The 20,475-nt window shown below is 33.2% G+C and overlaps 1 protein-coding gene across 10 annotated transcripts in view; it reads left to right on the top strand.

Moving 5' to 3' along the window:
• The window catches only part of CCDC178 (coiled-coil domain containing 178), a 503,635-nt gene that overhangs the window by 169,204 nt on the left and 313,956 nt on the right, over positions 1-20,475 (top strand). For 8 of the 10 annotated variants that reach the window (NM_001371120.1, NM_198995.3, XM_011525951.2 and 5 more), the window contains 2 exons: positions 4,540-4,635; positions 4,785-4,921. In NM_001371120.1, coding sequence (NP_001358049.1) covers positions 4,540-4,635; positions 4,785-4,921 — 233 coding nt within the window. The other 2 variants (XM_011525954.3, XM_011525955.2) reach the window with 2 other exon arrangements.

Raw genomic sequence — 20,475 nt, 5'->3', positions numbered from 1 at the left:
GAGATTTCTTCTTATACTTGTTGGTTATCAAGGAACATACTGTTTAATGTCCATATGTTTTGAATTTCCTTCTGTTATTTCTTTGTGTTATTGATTTATAATTTCATTCCAATATGGCTGGAGAAGGCACTTTGCATGACTTCAGTCATGCAGTATCAAAGTCTCTGTTTTTGTCAAATTTTCTATTTCTCTCTTTAGTTCTGTCAGTTTTTGTTTCATGTATCTTGAAGCTTTGTTGTTGGGTGGATTCATATTCGTGATTGTTATGTCTTGATTAATTGACCCTTCTGTTATTATAAAATGTAATTCTTTGTTTGTTCTAGCAATTTTTATTCTAAAGTCTATTTTGTCTGATATTAATCTAGCCACTTCAGCTCTAACATGGTTAATGTTTGCATGGACTTCCTTTAACATGGTTACTGTTTGCATGGAATTTCTTTTTCCAGCCTTTACTTTCAACATATTTGTGTCTTTGATCTCCCATGTGTCTTTTGTGAACCGTATATGATAGGACCATTTCCTTCAAACTCATTCCGTCAATCTCTATACTTTAATTAGAGGGTTTAATTTATTTACATTTAATGTAATTACTGATAAGGTAGGATTTGTATTTGCCATTCTGCTACTTATTTTCTCTGTGTCTTATGTCTTTATATTTTCTCTATTCCTTCATTACTGCCTTCTTTTGTGTAACACTTTAATTACTTTGCAATTGATTTGACTATATATTTTTGAACTATTTTCCCTGCAATTGCCCTAGGAGTGGAATTCACAATGTAATTTACAAAAAAAATTATTTTGGATTAATACTAACAATTTCAATAGTATACACATTTCTTTCTCCTCTATAGCTTTCTTTCTTCCTTTATTTATTTGTCTTGCTATTGTATAAATTATATCTTTATACATTGTGTGACTATCAACAGAAATTTACAATTACTGCTTTATGCAATTGTCTTTTAAATTAGGCAATGAAGAAGAGTTACAAAATAATACGTTTATACATTTTTAATATTTACCTATAAAGTTATGATTACTGGTTGTCTTTATTTCTTCTGTGGATTCAAGTTACTGTCTAGCATTCTTTCATCTCAATTTGAAGGAATCAATTCCCTTGAGTATTTTTTATAGAACAGGTTTATCCCAATATTTGATTATCTGGGAATGTCCTAATATCTCTATTGTTTTTAAGTTATAGTTTTGCTTGATATAGGATTCTTGGTACTTTTCTTTCTGTATTTTGTATATGCTAGTATATAACTTCTGTTTCCCATTGTTTTGACTGAAAAATTGTCTGTTAATCATATTGAAGATCCTTGACATGTGAAGTGTCACTTTTCTCTTGTTGCTTCCAGGAGTGTCTCTTTGTCTTTGACTTTTGACAGTTTGATTGTGATGTATCTCGAGTATATATCTTTGAGTTTTTACAACTGGAATTTCTTGGGCTTCCTCAATGTGTAAATTAATGTATTTTAAACCAAATTTTGCAAGTTTTCAGCCATTATTTATTTGAATATACTTTTTGCCTCCCCCCTCTCTTTTCTTCTTTGACTACTTTTACTTTTGTATGTATATTGGTATATACTTCATGGAATGTCACACAACTATGAATCTCTGTTCATTTTTCTTTATTTTTTTTTCTGTTCTTTAGTCTAGATAATCTCAGTTGACTCGTCTTCAGATTTGATGATTCTTTCTTCTGCCTACTCAAATATGCTGTTGAGTGCAGATAGCAAAAATTTTTTAGTTCAGTTATTGTACTTTTCAACTGTCAAATTTATATTTGAGTTTTTAAAATAATTTATATCACTTTATTAATAGTTTCTATTTGCTAAAACATTATTTTAATGCTTTGTTTTAGTCCTTTAGATCCTTGAACATATTTCAAATTTCCAATTGGATTAATAAATAAAATGTCTAATTTTCCCCTGAGATAATTTCTATTGACTAATTTTTTATTCTGCATAGTCTATACTTTCTTAATTCTTTGAATGTCTCATTTTTAGTTGTTGAAAACTGAACATTTTAAATACAATGTATTTATACTGGATATCATATTTTCACTTATCCTCAGGATTTGTTCCTGTTGCTGTTTGCTGAAGTAGTAATCTTTGTTGTTTTGTTTTGTTTAGAGAACTTTCTAACTTAATTAAGTAAAGTCTGTTGTCTTTCTCATGTGCAGCCCATGAAGTCTCTTCTCAGCTGAGGGTCTGTTAATCATTGGATAATAATCCTTAAAATCTGAAAAAAATTTATCTCTGTCTTTGCAGAAAAGTTCTGTGTGCTTTCTTAGGTTCACCTTTAATAAACAACCAGGCAGTTGCCAACGTTGCCGTAGTTTTTGTTATTGTTGTTGTTTCCTGCTTTCATAGAGCCTCAAGATCAGCAGGAGGTGAGAGGTTAAATAGCTTCTCAGGTATTTCCAGAACATGTGAATACCCTGGTCTTTCACACATCCCTGGATATTTGCAGCCTTCTAGATTCCCAGGAGTTATGTTGGAGCTTTACAAAGTACTATGGATGTAATTCCACCAGCTTTCCCTTTTTAGTTTGTTAGTTCATCTACTGTTTGTTCCAATTTTTAGCCACAATCTCAGGTGGCCACAGAGTTTATCAATTGCCTGTAATTTTTTTGGACAACCATGCTCTGGGGAAAAAGCTTTTCTGGGAGAGAGTTTTTGTGCTGGTAAACTCTGCATCAAATCAAATGCAGACATCCTTGCAAGTGGAGGTTTCCATAAAAACCACCAGACAGGTCAAATAAAGACAATTTTTTTGAGAACGAGGCTTTGAATGCATTCTAGCCTGATTCTACTCTCTCTGGTGGCTGCCAGAAGGCTGCTTTTGACAATAAATTATTCTTTGAGGCTTCTGTGGAGCTGAAGTGATAGGACTAGAAGGTGAAACACCACAAAGTGCACTCTTCTTACTAAGTTTAGACTGTTTTTATTAAATCAGTGCTCCCTAGATTGTTGCAAGCCTTTGGCTAATTTCGAATGTTGACAAGGCTGATTTGACATTTTTTTATCAGTTTTTTTTATTACATTTATATAAGAGGGAGTTTTCAGAGACTCCTGCTTCACTATTTTCATTGATGTCTCTGCAAGGACATAATCTGGGAATGTTGGCTTTTTATTTTACATTTTTTTCATGGTCGTCTTATTTAATTTACATTTTGTTTATGGTGGTATTTTTTGACACATACTTTTATAAAATGTGCTGTCAAACCCATCAACAGATCTCTTGGTTTACTCGGCAAGGTGACACTCTCCTTTAGCCCAAGATTATGCAAGTGAAATCTTATTGATTACTCTAATTTGAACATGTTCTGTGTTTGCATTTAGATTTTTATTCGTCTGAAACATTACTTTTGTTATTATATGAGTTAGATGTGAGGTATAGAGACCACTTTGAATTTTTTTAAACAGAGATTTCACATTATTTCAGTACCATTAATTAAACAACTTCTCTCTCACTGAATTCAGATATCATTTTCTGAAAATATTGATTCAGATTTATTTCTGGCCTTTAATTTTTCCCTCTGATCTTTACTATGATTAGGAAAATAAATGTTGCCTTAATATAGAAGTATTATAGGATGTTTTAGTATCTGGTAGCAAATTTCCAATATTTTATTTTTCAGATACCTTTTGGGTAGTCTCAGATACCTTTTTTCCATGTGAACTTCATTTAATGCAGTTCAAAAAAGACTACTCCATTTTGCTATATTTTTACAGTAATGTTGGGAGAACACACATTATAGTCTATTAAACCATTTTGTAACAAATCATCCTTTTCATGTGAAACTTGATTTAGGATTTTTAATAAGAGTTTTTGTTTACTTTATATAGGTCCTCTTCTTTTTGTCAAATTTTTTCCCAAATAATTTATATTTTTGAGAAAACTTTACAATTATTTCTTCTGTATTTTAAAGACCGATTATTATTCTTATAGATAAAAGCTATTCATTTCCTAATCCTTATATCCAGCCATTTTACCAAAATTGTTTATTGTTGTTTTAAATAGAATTCTTCTATTTTTCTAGGTATTTAATTATGTTATCTAAAGTTGAAGATATATTACCTATTCATTTTCAGTATTATAATAGTAATATTTGATTTTATTATGTAATTGTTTACCTAGTCTTTCCTAAAGCATGATTAATAATGTAATAAAAGATAATATGATCTTATTCTTGAGTCTAATGAGGATACATTCAGTATTTTATAATTCACTTTGGTATTTGCTATTGTTTCTTTATATTATATTTGAATCATTTTTTTCTTGTACTAGTTTTTTTAAGATACGAAAACTAGACAGTGAGTGAATTTATTAAATGACTGTTTTGCAAAGTGTTAGCATGCTTATTTTCTCCTTTAACTTGTTGATGTGATGAATTATGATTCCGAATTTTCTATTGTTTTTCAATTTTTATGTAACTGAAACAAATTCTACTTTATCATGATTAATTTATTTTTTACCTTATGGAAGGATGAAAAGCTATACAATTCACTTTGTTCTGTATATCTTCTTTCTTAGCTGGAAGATTTGAGAAGAGTTTATGACCAACTAACCTGGAAGCAAAAAAGTCATGAAAATCAGTATCTGGAAGCAGTTAATGATTTTTATGCTGCAGTAAGTTGATTTTTTCCTACTTCCCACTTAGAACGCCATTTTCTATTTCCAAATATTAACTCATATATCTAAAAGTGATTTCATTATTATAGGTTTTGCCTTTTGATAATTAGACATGTATGAATGATTCTTTTATTCTTTTCTTAAAGAAAAAAACATGGGATATTGAGCTTTCTGATGTTGCAAAAGATTTTTCAGCTATTTCTTTGGCATGTACAAAACTGACGGAAGACAATAAAAAACTTGAGATTGATATTAACAAAATAACAGTAAAAACCAATGAAAGGTAAATTTGCAAATACTTTTCTTCTTATATACCATAATCCAATATGTTAAATACAATAAACCTCTCCAGTTTGTGTCCCTGGAGTTATATGGTGGTGTTTTTGTTTATCAGTAGCTTAAAATTTAAGTTCTATTCAAAATGTTGCCTTTAGTCACTCTGGGTTCCCTTTGAAAAGTCAGAATACATGTGCCATGTTGGTGTGCTGCACCCATTAACTCGTCATTTAGCATTAGGTATATCTCCTAATGCTATCCCTCCCCCCTCCCCCTACCCCACAACAGTCCCCGGTGTGTGATGTTCCCCTTCCTGTGTCCATGTGTTCTCTTTGTTCACCCTAAAACTTAAAGTATAATAATAATAAAATAAAGAAAAAAAAGAAAAGTCAAAATAATTGTAAAAGTTATAAGCAGCTTTACACAGCCTTATCTTACCTCTTTTTGACTATCCTCTTACACTAAAAAATACTTTAAACTTAAAATACAGTAGCCCCCCCTTAACCATGGGAGATGTGTTCCAAGACCCATAGTGAATGTCTGAAACCACAGATTGTACCAAACCCTATATATACTACAATTTTGCAATCTGATAACTGAGCTGGCTACTAAGTGACTAAAACACAGGTCGCATACACAGCATGGATATGCTGGACAAAGGGATTATTCACATCTGGGGCAAGAGAGCATGAGATTTCATTATGCTACTTAGAACAGCCTACAATTTAAAACTTATGAATTGTCTATATCTGGAATTCGCCATTTAATCTTTTCAGACTACAGTTGACCACAGGTAACTAAGCCTGCAGGAATCAAAACTTGCAGATATGGAGGATCTTATGTATGTCTTATCAAGCTCATGATCTCCTTCAGTCCACTCTCAATTTTTCCTGCAACTACTATACTAGTATTCTTGGTTTGGAAACCTATGAGTTTTCATGACTCCTCTATTTCAACTCTCATATTTAATGGATCAACAAGAACTATTCCACATACTAAATGTATTTTCAGTTTATTCTCTTCATTGCTCCACCAACAATCTAGTACAAGCTATCGTCATGTCTGGCATGAACTCACAGTGACTGGCAGAACTGGTCTACCTGCAATCACTCTCTAATACATTATCTACATTTTGATAGGCATGTTCTTATTTATCTTAACATAAGTATGATCAATTCCCCTCTATATCTGCATGAATTTTAACAGGGGTGAAAGGACCAAAGACCCCCCACCACATATCCTGCAAGGTCCCTTGAATAGGCACATCTGCTTCTACAGTCTCATATTCTTCCCAGTTCACCCTTATTACTTGGTTCAAATACAGTAGTAGTACTTCAGTTTCTCCCACTTATCACTTTTTCCAGCCCATACATGGTATTTTTATGCTACTTTCTTTTTCTAGAATGTTTTTACCACTTCCTTCTACCTAATTGCCACTTATCCTTAAGATTACAGCTGACTATCCTGTGAAATTCAATTCCTCTGTCATATGTACATGTGATACACATGCCTCTCTTTTTCACATCTCTTCTCATATTCATAATTTTTTGTGTATGAATATTTGATTCATTTCTGTCTTCCTCAAAAATGGGAAGATCCATGAGGTCAGATCATGACTACTTTTCCTTTGCTATTGAATCCTCATCATATAGCAGAGTCTGACACATACTATGCTATCAGGAAAAAATGACCATGATACTTGATTATTGTATTGGAAGTTTGATAAAATTTCTTAGAATTATTTTACCTTTGGAAATGATGAAATGGAACAATTTGTAAAACTTTCTTGTATGTGAAACATACTTTTTTAAGGATGTTGGTTTTTAAAGAATAACTTAAAACTGTAGTTGTTAATATTACTACATTTTATCATTTTATTTTATAAAGAAAAAGAACCAGAGGAGCAAAAGCAAACAAACATCTGAAGAGTCGGTGATCTAATAAGGACACTCATCTTGAGGAAAGGGAGAGTGTGTGACAGCAGGCACTTATTAGATTATTCTGCAGTAACACACAACCCCCAAATCTTAGTGACTCAAAATAAAAAGGTTGATTTCTCACTCACATAGTAATTTAGCTGGTAATAGAGGGAAAAGTACATTAGTGAGATCACTCAATGGCTCTTGTAGCTTCCACAGGAGGGTGATACATGTTAATACCACTCACATTCCTTTGAACAAAGCAAGTCACATGGCCAAGTCTGATGTCAGTGGGGTGACAAGTCTAATTCTCTCAAGAATAGACGTAGTGAATTATTGGGAACACAAGTACATCTATCACAAGCAGTGGGAATGCAGCTCTATTTATGGGGAAGGATTTCCATGGTGTATATCTTGCTTACCCAGAAAGCACCCTGAGATGTTACTTAATTATTTAATCATTTAATTTCCCCCAATTTTTACCAGGAATTAAAAATTAAATGGATAATTTTTAACAGCGGATTACATGGTGCTGAACAGAGAATTAATAAACAATCAGTAAAATAAAGTGAAAGAGAGATTAAGAGATTTGCAGGCAAGAGTCAGGTCTACTATATATCTAAGTCATGTTCCTAAAGAAGAGAAGATTAAAACTCAGGACAAAGAGATAATTACCAATTCATATATCAAAATAGTTCTTATATTCTTGTTTCTAACTGGTAACTATATATATCTATCACATTTATGTATATATGCAAATAATTTTATCTATTTCGATTATTTGCACATATAAACTGGCAAGTCTATATGTAGGCAGCAAGTATATATTACATTACAAATGTATGCAAATGTAATTTTTCATTTCCTAAAGTTTTATTTGCTTTTCACCCAAATCTGCTAGATTGTTTTATGATTTTTTTGTTTGACACAGATATTTAAAGCTTATCTTTTATCTCTTAAACAGTGTGAATAGTTATAATCTGCACCTAATAATTTAAATGTCTGTAGTCTTTGTAATTTGCTTCTACTTCTTATTCTTCTAGCTCATGCTTCAGTGCCTTTTTCACTTGTATTCTTGGCTATTTTTTTTTTAACCATGTGTAGTCCACTTGCTTCTGAACACTATTTGTAGAAAATCTTTAAGTCCTAGGATAAAGTTGAGTTAATCATTGCAATCTTATGTTTATGAAAAAGTTTCTATTTTTCAACTTGTGTCCTTGGATATGCTCTAGACTATGATTTTGTTTCCTACGCCATATTTAACAAAGCTCCATTTAACCAAAAGTTCCAGTGCCTTAAGAGTAGTAACGTCTTCTCTATTTAGCACTCTGTCTGTAACACGTTTGTGGTAAGAAATTTGGAAAATACAGAATGTACAAAAGGAGATTGAGACCCTAACATTGTTTCAATTCATAGAAATATAGCTATTAATATATTACTGAATTTTTTCCTTCTTACTAAATAACTAATTATGAGTTTTGATCTTATTCCCAGCATGATATAATAGATTTTTCACAATATTAAACAACTGTTAAATACACCATTTAAATAGCTGTATAAAAGTGTATTATATGGATGACCTATGATTTATGTACAAATTGCTGTTATTTGGATGGCTCTCATTTTTAACTACTTGTTGTAAATATTATGGCAGTGGATTATTTTGTTTAGAAATCTTTATCAACATATTGGCTTTTTAAAATTTAAAATAGTTTCATAGAATTTGATTCAGTATAATACTTTTAAAACTCCCACTTCATCTCTAAAAGTACTTTCCGGAAAGACTATCCCATTCATGAGGCTATGCAGTACATGAGCTTGTCCTCTCACACACCTGTGCTAACTTGAGTGTTATAGTTGGAACAAATCTCTCTCAATATGATAAATGAAAACTATCTTCCTAATATTGTTTTGAACTCCATTTATTTGATTACTAGGGAGGTTGAATATTTGTTCAACCTCTATTGAATTCTACTTTTTCTAAATAATTCTTGTGTGTTTCCAAGGAAGAAATGAGGAACTCAAAGTTCTAAGGTGCAAAGTGGCTTTCCTAAAGTCCCACAGCTGGAGTTTAAAATCTGACTTTCTATATTCAGGTTCAGAATATTAACCTCCTCTCATTTTTTGCAGTCTAATCTGACTTAAATTTAACTGACATTTAGTAAATGTTCAAATATGCTCGATAAATCAGTCAAATAATAACAATTACAAATAGTAGATCTAATGTTAAAATTGCTGTTATTAATATTTTGGGGCACAGATAAGATGGTGGTAGGTTCACAGAGTTACACTTTTGATGTGGCTGAAGCTTAGAGAAAGTGCATGATCTGACCTGTGTGCTTGTGTCTGGGTGTGTATGTGTGTGTTTGCATGCAATACGTGTTTTTATGTGGCAGGCCATCAGGTGACAACATTGAGTCTAAGGAACCATCATGCCAGATAATGAGTCATTTTAAGGCATTTTGACTCAGTTGAGGACTGTAGATGTCCACTAAAGAAGCCATATGATCAGACTTCCCTTTTAAATATGTCATTTTAGTGGTATTTGGATGAGTTAAGGTTTGAAAAACTAGTTTGATGGTGGTACCAGACATTAAGTGAAAAATGTGTAGATGAAAAAAAGGAAGGTTGGAGGGTAAATGTTGCTATGTTTGATTGGGATTGTGTATGGCACAATACAAATGTAAGTATCTGGAAATCATTTTGATTTGTGAGTCTGAAATTGTGGAAAGATAGTCATTGAGATAGATGTTAGATGTAAAATGCAGAAGTACTTTAAATTATCAGGCAAATATTTTCACATTTTTTCCTTCATCTGTTTCTTAAAAATTTGAATTTTTATAGATAGAACTTTTGTGGAAAAATTATAACAATTGGCCATATATAAGTATAATGTAAAATTTCCCCAATATCTGATAGGGCAGAATCAATAAATATAGTTAATGGCCTTTATAGACCCTATCTACTAACCCATAGTTTGGTTTTTCATGAAATCATGAATGTCTACTTAGAAAATATAAGAGAAAACCTCATTCATTAGAAAATTATACCCAAAATGCAACTAAGAAGACATACATAGAAAGTAGGAAGTTTCTATGAAGAGAGTACCAAATGTGATTAAAATATACTTAAAAATGAATAGAGAGATATGTCAAAAATTTGAATATGACCCAGTTATGAGAAAATGTCAAGTTCTAACCAAATAAATTAAAAGTCTTACTGCAGTTGTAACTAAACTCCTAATGTAATTTTATTTTATAATTTAATAAAATAACTAATCAAGGTAATTTTAAAATGACTATTTATGGGGACAAATAGCCCTATGGAATATTTAAATGTGAAAAAGATTATATAACCATTAAACTCTGTGGTATTGTTCAAGGTTGAGATAGCTAGAAAACAGAAATATCAGTAGATAGCAACAGCAATCAGAAATAAAATTGAAAAGATATCTCTTACAATATAATTTTGAAACATCAAATCCACAAAATGAATCTAGCAAGAAGGTGTCTGATAATACTACCCAGAAGACCACATAATATTGTTGAAGCAAATTAAAGAAGATGTAAATCAATAGAGGGGGGCATACCTTGGCCATGAACTGGAACACTCACTCATGCAGGCCGGGCGTGGTGGCTCAAGCCTGTAGTCCCAGAACTTTGGGAGGCCAAGGTGGGCGGATCACGAGGTCAGGAGATCGAGACCATCCTGGCTAACACGGTGAAACCCCGTCTCTACTAAAAATACAAAAAATTAGCCGGGCGTGGTGGCGGGCGCCTGTAGCCCCAGCTACTTAGGAGGCTGAGGCAGGAGAATGGCGTGAACCCAGGAGGCGGAGCTCGCAGTGAGCCGAGCTCGTGCCACTGCACTCCAGCCTGGGCGACAGAGCGAGACTGTGTCTCAACAAACAAACAAACAAACAGAAAAAAAAAACCCTGATATTAAAATGTATATGGAAAATTAAAGAAGGAGAAAATATTTAACAATGTTTTAGAACTAGGCTTCGGAAATTATAATACCATTTTTCAAAATTAACAATAGAGCTCAATATGTAAAATGACTCGTTACTCATGTTAGGGTAAAAAGACAGACCAGTGGAAATGAGTAGAAAGTCCAAAATCAGACCTATACGTATACATTCACCAGATTTGTGACAAGCGTGCCACTATAGTGCAGCAAAGAATAAATGGCCTAATAGCCTTATGAAAAAAAACAAAAAAAAAGTCTTACCTCTACCTATCTAACAAACAATAGTCTATTTTTTTGGAACATAGTTGTAAATGTGAAAGTTTGAACAATACAAAATTCTAAGAAAACATAGAAAAATATCAATAAATATGAGTCAGGTAAAGTTTTCTTAAACAGGAAAATAAATACCATCATAGAGAAAAAAACTGATGAATAAACATTCCATTAAGACAGAGAAAAGGTAAACCACAGACTGATAAAATATATTTGTTATAGCTATATCTGAGAAGATAAATTGATAAACCAAAAAAATTGGTGAAGAAAAATAAGTAAATAATAAAATAACAAATATATAATATAATGATAAATATAAAATAACAAAAATAATTAAAAATTATAGAAAAAGCAAATAATCAAACAGAAATCTGCAGAACTGAACAGTCACTTCACAAAAGAGGATAAACAAATGTGTAGTAATCATGAACGAGTAGAATGAATAGGTAAGATATAACATAGTCATACAAAGGAATACTCTGCAGCAGTGAGAATAAACAGATTTCAGCTACACACAACAACATGAATGAATCTTAGAAACATAATATTGAGTAAAAGTAGACAAAATGGCTGTATATACTATATGATCTTGTTCAGAAGCAGGCAAAATGGTCATAGGAGTCAGGATAGCAGTTCCTATTGGGTGGTAGTGACTGAGAGAGCACACTCCTGGGATTCTGCTGGCCATGTGTAATATATATATATATGTGTATTTTTTTTTCTGAATGAGGGTGGTACTGGTGTATTCACATTAAAAATTCATTGAACTATACTCTGATTTGTACTCTCTTCTGTATAAAAGTTCTACTTCAATAAAATGTTACTTTTAAAATAAATATTAAATTACATAAATTGTTAATTCAGTCCAACTAAAATGTGTTCAATCACTTATTAATCATTTATTGAATTCATATTGTATGCAGACATTATGGTAGGTTCTAAAGTTACAATACATATGTGGAAAACTTCCTGCCTTCAATGAGCCCCCAAGAAAATACATAATTATTATGGAAGTTATGTTTTTCAGTAGCTGATATGGTTTGGCTCTAAGTCCCCACCCAAATCTCGTCTTGAATCCCCACATGTTGGGAGAGGGACTGGTGGGGGGGGGTGATTGAATCATGGGGGCAGACTTCCCCTTGCTGTTCTCGTGATAGTGAGTGAATTCTCAGGAGATCTGATTCTTTGAAAGTGTGTGGCATTTCCGCCTTCACTCTCTCTCTCTCCTGTTCAGCCATGCTAATATGTGCTTGCCTCCCCTTTGCCTTCCGCTATGATTGTAAGTTTCCAGAGGCCTCCTAGTCATGCTTCCTGTTAAGCCTGAAGAACTGTGAGTCCATGAAGCCTCATTTCTTCATATATTACCCAGTCTCAGGTAGTTCTTTATAGCAGTGTGAAAATGGACTAATACAGTAGCCTAATAAGTACAGTAAGAAATGCAAGAAAGGAGCTAGCAGGAGCTTCTGCACTGCAGCTCATTTTAGCTATTAGTGACTATGATTACCTGGGATTAAAAACCAAACAAGCAAAAAAACTTAATTCTGTGGTTTCCTTTACCCTGCTTTCTGTGAAGATATTACATTTGTTAATTTTTTTCTCTTTGAAGTAATATGGCCTTGTGATGTTTTTACATATAAAATTAGAAAGATAAAATGCACAGCCTTTTTTTTACAGTTACAAACCCACACCTTGTAACTGCTTGCACCTAGGGCCTATGTCATCATTTCCCCCATTTTTAGATCCTCAAGGACTAACCTAGTTTCTGAAACATTGTTGATGTACGTTATGTGCTATACAATATTTTCAGGAGAAAATATTCATTTGTAGTATACTACGTGTAACTTGTTACATTGTATAAAATACATAAAATAATATAGAGATTAATAATTTTTATCTTTTAGCACTTTGAGAAATAGCTTCATATATCTTTATTTGTACTTCATTTAAAATGTTTTCAAACAGCAATTTAATAACATAACTATGATTCATAAACTAATGTTGTAAGTTTATACTTAGGACTAAATATATTTATATTTAAAGAAAACAGACTTAAAAAGCAGGTGTGTGAGTGTGTTTGTATGTCCTGAGCACCTGCTTTGTGTCTGACACTGTTTGAGGTGCTCACGACAATGTTTAAATTTACATTGTTGTATAGGAAAATAATAATAAACATGTTGACTAATGAATATATAGTTAAAATTGTAGTCATTGGTACTCTTGTGGGGACAATAAAACTGAATAATGTGGTAGAGAATGACAGGCCAGGGCAGGGTTGAGGACTCTGCTTTAGCAAGAATATTCGGTGTCACCTCTTTGAGAAACTAACATTGGAATTGAGACCGGAATGAAGACATGTCAGTCAAGCACGTCTGAGGAAGAGAATTCCAAGTATAAGAGGAAGCTTTGAGACAGATAAAAATTCTTTGTGCTCTGAAGAGAGAATGGAGGCCGGTGTTGCTAGAAAATTGTATGAGAGGGGTAATTCACAGAGACAAATGTTGGTAAGGCAGACAGGGCTCATATACTAAAAGCCTGTAAGTGTGCTAATGATAGAGGCTTATGATTAAGGCATTTTCATAATCTTATATTTTAGAGAGATCACTTGGGCTGCTTAGTGATGGATGGACTTTGGTGCATTTAAGATGGAAGGCTTTTTTTGGTAATTCAAAAAAATATAATAATTAAGACATATAGATAAAGGCTTTTGCAGTATAAATGGTAGGGCATTCAGATATGTTTTGGAAGGGATGCTAACTGGACCTTTTGGTAGGTGGGATATAAGACATGAAGGAAAAACTGGTTGGCTATTTGCTGAAATAACAAGAGCTTATAGAGGGTATGAAGAGGATTTGAGGAGAGAAGATATGTCTCCTTAGGCCATATTAAATTTCAGATTCTTATGAGCTCTTGAAATGGTAATGAGAAGTAACAATTAGGTACATTGGTTTACAGCCCAGTGATGAGGAGGATCCCAAAGACAAATTTGGAGTCATAAAATTAAACAATGGGACAGTTTGAGATGTCTAAAAAGAGAGTGTAGGCAGAGAAGTAATGAGAATTTACATTTTGTGCAATATGGACAATGGAGAACATGAAAAGTTTTTTGCTACAGAACACTTATAAATGGGGCATACACAGAGCTCACATCTTTTAAATGAAGAGCTGGGCTTACAGGCAAGTAAAGGAAATTCTCAGGGGTCAATGCATTGAAAGTAATTGAACAACTGCAGGCTGAATTCCCAACTGATATTTGGCTTCCCTGAAAATATGGGTGGAAGAATAGCCTTGTTGAACTTGGTAAACAAGGGAATTAAATTTTAGTGGCTTCAAATAATAGGTCATGGGCCATGGATCTGTGCAAGTGAAGGAGTTGGATAAAGTAAGGGCACTTAAGTGAATAGAAAATAATCTACCCATGAGCAAAGGCCGAAGGAAGAAAGTATCTGTCTACTTCTGGGACCTGGGTGAAAGAAAAGCAAGTGAGAACATTCCCAGTCTGGCCTCTTTTCACAATGGTTTGATGTTTTAATTTACATCATCAAAGTGTTTTTAGAAGGCCCTAACCAAGAAATTATCATAGAAAAGTTATCCTGCTCAGCTCAAATAGTCACTGGAGGAATAAACCCTAGACTGAGGCCATACAAGATTCTCACACAAAAAGTAAGGCTTTTAAAAATGAACTTACAAAATTATAAAGCACATAAGGAAAATTCCAACATGAATTGAAGTTATCAGAAACAATGATAAGGTTCTTAATTTATCAGCAAAAATTTCAAATAAATAAATAGAACTCAGATTGTACAATTATGAGATTTATTCTATCTAAGTTTTAAATAGTTAATGGGAACAAAACAAACTAATAGAACACTATCCAAAAAGTGCAGGCAGTTGAAAAAGAATCCACCAAAACTTGTAAAAATTAAAACTGGATTCATTTCTACTGAAGATTCTATTAATTGAATAGTAGAAAGAGCTGGGGGAAATTCATTAGTGTACCTAAAAATAGAACCCAGAATACAGCACAGAGAGAAAAAGAGAGAAAATCTGAAAGAAATATTCAAGTTGTGGAAAATAGAATGAGAAATAAAGGAAAGAATGGGGAAAGCAGTATTCAAAAAGATAATGGCAGATGATCTATAATTTTTAGAACATAGATTTTCAGCTTCAAACAGCAGCATAAATCCCACACAACATAAACTCAGAAATAAAACTTTAATTTATTTAAACCGTAGTTTACTCAAGTTGGAAGGAGAAATTAAAGGCCTGGCATGCTTTTTGTCAAACAAATGTATTCTATAGGGACAGCATCTGCATCCTTCCTCTTTAGATACCAAGGGATAAATAATACTTTTTGTTCAAGACTAAGGTGTCCATCTGTGCTGTTGGTCTCAACCTCTTCTGCCCTGTTCAAGACATAGTTTTACTCGTATCACTTCCATTTTTGAAATCTTTATTCACTATCTTTTTTCTTCCTTATCTTTTTAGTCTATAGACATCATTAATCCTCCTCCAATATAAAATGAAAGGTTTGCTTTCATCCTATTTGTACTTTTAGCAAATCACTCAATAGTTCCCTTTTACTGTTATTAAAAATTACACATAGTTAGCAATATTTGCTAGATTATTAGAAATATTTCTTTCACTATTAATCATTTTTTGACATAAAGCAGTCCAGCTTCTTAAATCCCATGCTACCAAAATTTATCTTAAGTGCAAAATAGACCTTTCTTCCTGAATACATGAGGCCATTTTTCAGTCCTGTGGTAGGCGTTTTTTTTTTTTTCTCTCTTTCTTTCTACATGTTACCCAAGCATTTGTGTCTATGCCCTCTTTGATGCTATCCCTTTTTGAGATTCAGGATGCCATTCTCTTGATTCTTCAGGTTCTTCCTTTAATTCTGTGAAGCTGTTCTTTTCAGGAATCCTAGAGCAGCTGATATATCTCTGCTGTCCTTGATTAGTTTAGGGTACTAATCTCAGCCCATTTATACCCTTGCTCCATCTCCTGTCCCAGAAATTTTGCCTGGTCCCCTTATTTTAACATGTACTGTACATTTTTTGACTCTTTAATCTCACTTGACATTCTCTAGCTCTACCAACAGTATCATGTGGAGTATCTACTCTCTCCCCTAACTTAAATCCTGCACTGTTATCCACCAAGTTACCTGTTTTGGGCGTTGTTCTATATCCCTCTCTCCTGGCTCACTCCAGCATCTTACCAACTTCTTTAAATATCTCTCCAATGGGTACTTTACTTTTTCTCTATTTCAATTACCAATAAAATAAACCAGGCCCTTATTGTCTCATGATGGGAACACTATTTTCCTTCAGCAGCTTAAAAACATTTCATAGGCTCCCTACCAGCTATTGGATAAAGTCATGCTTCCAGACTGATAGATTGGACACTGTAAACTGTCACCTGCCCAACTTAAAACTCATCTCTTATTATTCCTTCCATGATCTTAGTCTGTTTTGTGTTACTATAACAGAATACCTGAAGCTGGGTAATTTGTAAAGAAAAGAGGTTTATTGAGTTCATGGTTCTGCAGGCTTGGAAGTTCAAGGGCATGACCCCATCCTGGCTAGGGCTTTCGTGCTGCATCAGAACATGCTGGAGAAGGTCAAAGGGGAAGTGAACAGGTACAAAGACACAAAACTTGAGAGGCATCCTGGTTTTATAACAACCCACTCTCATGGGAACTAATTAATTCCCATAAAAACTAATCCAATCTCACCAAAGCAAGAGCTCACTATAGCGAGAACAGCACAAAGCCATTCATGAGGGATTTGCTGCCATGATTGAAACTCTTCCTGCTAGACCCCACCCTGTAACACTGTCACATTGGGGATCAGATGTCAACATGGGTTTTAACAGTGACAAACAAACTATCTCCAAACCCTAGCAATCCTTATGTTCTAGCCTATTAAAATGCTTATGCATCTGAACTCATATTGTTTTCAGCTTCAGTTTGGTCTCCAATATTCTTCTGATAGGAATTTACTTTTTCCTCCTTCTCCTTCCATCTGCTCCTCCTCTTCCTTCTCTTCGTCTTCTTCTTCAGCATGTTTTTAAATCTGATTAATTCACCCTTTGTATAATAGCTCAGACATTAGCTATTCCCAGAAGCTTGTCCTATTGGTAACTTATCTTCCCTTGTCTACAAACCAAAACAGTGTAAAGTGCCTCTTCCATTATTGTCTTATTATTGCACTGGAATCTGTTTTTTGTTTCCTGTTTCCTTCATGAGAGTATAAACTTGTTTCCATTTATCTTCATATCTCAGTCACCTAGCACAGCTGTTGACATATAATCAATGCTCAATAAGTATCCATTTAACTAACTTTCCTTGGTTCCATACTTCCCTTTTAGCACTTTCCACACTATGTACAGTTACTGCCGGTTTGCTTATTTGTTGCTTCCTGTCTGGCCTGAGCTGCTTAATTGCCTTCATTATATGTATCTGTGTGTGTGTGTGTGTGTGTGTGTGTGTGTGTGTGTGTGTGTGTGTGTTTCTCAATAGATGTTGAATAAATGACATAATGAATGAATGATAGCTAAATATAAAAGTTTATTCTTAGTTCTTCCTTTGCTTCAGTATCTCCGTCCTCCTATTCTCTGTGCTATGTATTCTGATGTCACATCCACTTGTGTCTCTTTCTGTTCCAAAGCAAGACTAATGATTATTTTTCTTATATTTTTTCCCTCTCATTGTGCGTCATCTCACTAAAGCAGAGAACACTATAAAGAGTCATGCAGTCTTTATATACTATTTTAATTAATAAAAACTTTATTGAATCATTTATGTTATTCAGTGCAGGTAAGCAGTATGTATATATTACCCTCAATTTATTTAATCTTGATTACAACTTTGATGATAGGTATTATTAAATTAATCTTACAGATAAGGATATTGAGTATGAAACCATCCTCCCCAATTACATAAGGAGCAATCAGGATTTGAATACAGGTCTACTTAACTCCAACATTTATGTTCTTTCCACTTAGCAACACAGCCTCTTCTCTTCCGTTAGGTAAGTCTTGATTCTTATTTCTGACATGTTGCAGAAGATTTTGGACACAAAACCTACTTCAAAAAAAATCAAAAGCTTATGGTTTAACTTAATTCTCCATCTCTACATTTGACTATATCCATTGTTTATCTCAGAAAGCTCTGTTCTTCTTACTCTCTCCTTTATTTTTTATCTTTTTTAACTCTACCATTTATCTGAATCACCTTCCCCTTAGTCCCAGTTTCTCTTTTTCCTTAAGTCCAAACATAATTTAATGGTTAAAAAGCAAATCACTGATTTCATAAGTCTAGTGAATATCCCCATGAAACATCCTCATATTGGAACTGTTATGTACACTAAGATTCCATTAGAAAACTATCTCAACATTTGATGTCATTTCCAGACTTTTACACTGTTTAAATAAATTACGTAATTACTGCAATATATGGTATACTGTTCATATATAGTTTACCTTCAGAATGCCAACGTTAAAACACAGATGCCATATTTGTTAACAGACTTTGTTCAGTTATCCTATACATACAAATACTTACTAGACCTTTTTGTGACAACGATGATGATATGATTGTTTACCTTGCAGAAGCAGTTTATAATTTGGTAATTTTGTCTTTCAAACCAATGAGCATCCATTAGAAATAGACCCTTTACATTTGGGACATTTGACTTGAGCAAACAATTTTACTTGATTGCTTATTCACATGATAGGCAGGGTTCAAAAACCTAAGTCAAGGAAAATGAGCTTGTTTAAAATGATTTGAAATTGATTAACTTAGATTTAGTTTGCTTGAAATTAACTGTGTGGTATGAATTTCTATATAGTCATTTTCTTACATTCAAGCTCTGTAAAATATTCTAAATATCTATTTCTAGTGTTCAACTGTATCTTAAGCAAGACAATGCCATTGTAACTGCAGTGAGCCAAAGATGGGGTTGGTAATTGAGGGAAATGAGCAAAAAAGCTATTGAATAATATAGAGATATATTGGCATATTTTATGAAGTTTGTTTTTTAAGAAGTAACAGTGTGGTGATTTATTTGTAGAGATAGCAATTCGAATATTACTGAAGTTGTTAAATAGCCTGGAATACCTAGAATGAATCCACAGGGTGCTGTGTTTTTCATACCCATTTAGCTATGTCTTACCAGTCTATTAATTTGAGTTGCTTCACAGAAGTGTCAAATTCTTCTTTTTCCAGCATTGCACAACAAACTTTTGCATCAATGTTTTAAATGATTTTACTTTTGGTTTTTAATTTTTTCAGACATTAAAAGATAAAAGTATACAAATAATGCATTAAAATGATATATACATCATCTAAAATTAACTACTCACCCACATGTTAGTTAGCCCATTTTAGACTTTTTTTTCCAAGAGTTGAATACTAAAAATAAATTATACTTTCTATTCCTACTTTCTACCTCTGCAGAGGCATTGAAATATGAATTTGGGTGATACAGTCCATGCAAGAACTTAGATTTTCAATCCATTAGCTTTCTCATTTTCAACAATCTTTTCTTCCGTCCTACACCAACCACCTTCTCTTATAGTTTTACTCTGTTTTTGTCATTTCCAAGAATTGAGTTATTTCCTGGTCTCAATTTTAATTATCCGCTTTCAGATAACCAATACCTCTTTTTCTAACTTACTCTACTAGCACCCTCACTCTAACAAATATTTGACACTATGATGACCAAACTATCATCCTTACTACATTTTTATATCCCACCTTATTGTCCTTCTTTCCCTTCTTACAGAACCTAGTTACATTGGATCAAAATAAGCACATATTTAAATAACATTCAAGACTGTGTTTTTATGACTTGAAAAGCCCTATCCCTAACTAAACCAGCAGCTTTCTTCATTGAACTTTTCCTAGCAGCTGAATGTGGCTAAAATAAAACACAAGTATGCTAAGTAGCCTCACAGGGTGGATCCTGGTTTGGTGGGCCCTAGAGGTTATAGTATATGGGGGCAGTAGATAAAAGAAAACAATATTATGAATACAAAATGCCCACAGTTACTTGAATACCACTTGAGAGAGGAGACCTTGTATTAGAAAGAGAGAATGATCTTCATCAATTTTGATTAAAATATCTTGTTTCTACAAACTTTATAAAAACATATGACCATGTGAAAACACTGCTAGGGAGACACTCGAAGGACTTTGTAAGGGACTGGGGCCAATTAGAGGCCCTCATGTTTAAGCTTCATTAGCAGCACAATAAATTTACTTCTGAGTAGAACTTAAATTCTGTGACCATAAATCTTGAGTGATATTCAGCACGACCAAGAAATTTCTAGACAATTCCACTTTTCTGATGACTGTTTTATATCTTCTCCCTCTCTTGACTCCTAATAACCATATTAT

The sequence above is a fragment of the Homo sapiens genome, chromosome 18, assembly GCF_000001405.40.
Source record: "Homo sapiens chromosome 18, GRCh38.p14 Primary Assembly".
Taxonomy (NCBI): Eukaryota; Metazoa; Chordata; class Mammalia; order Primates; family Hominidae; genus Homo; species Homo sapiens.
The sequence above is the reverse complement of the archived record's forward strand: the minus strand, read 5'-3'. Positions and strand labels throughout refer to the sequence as shown.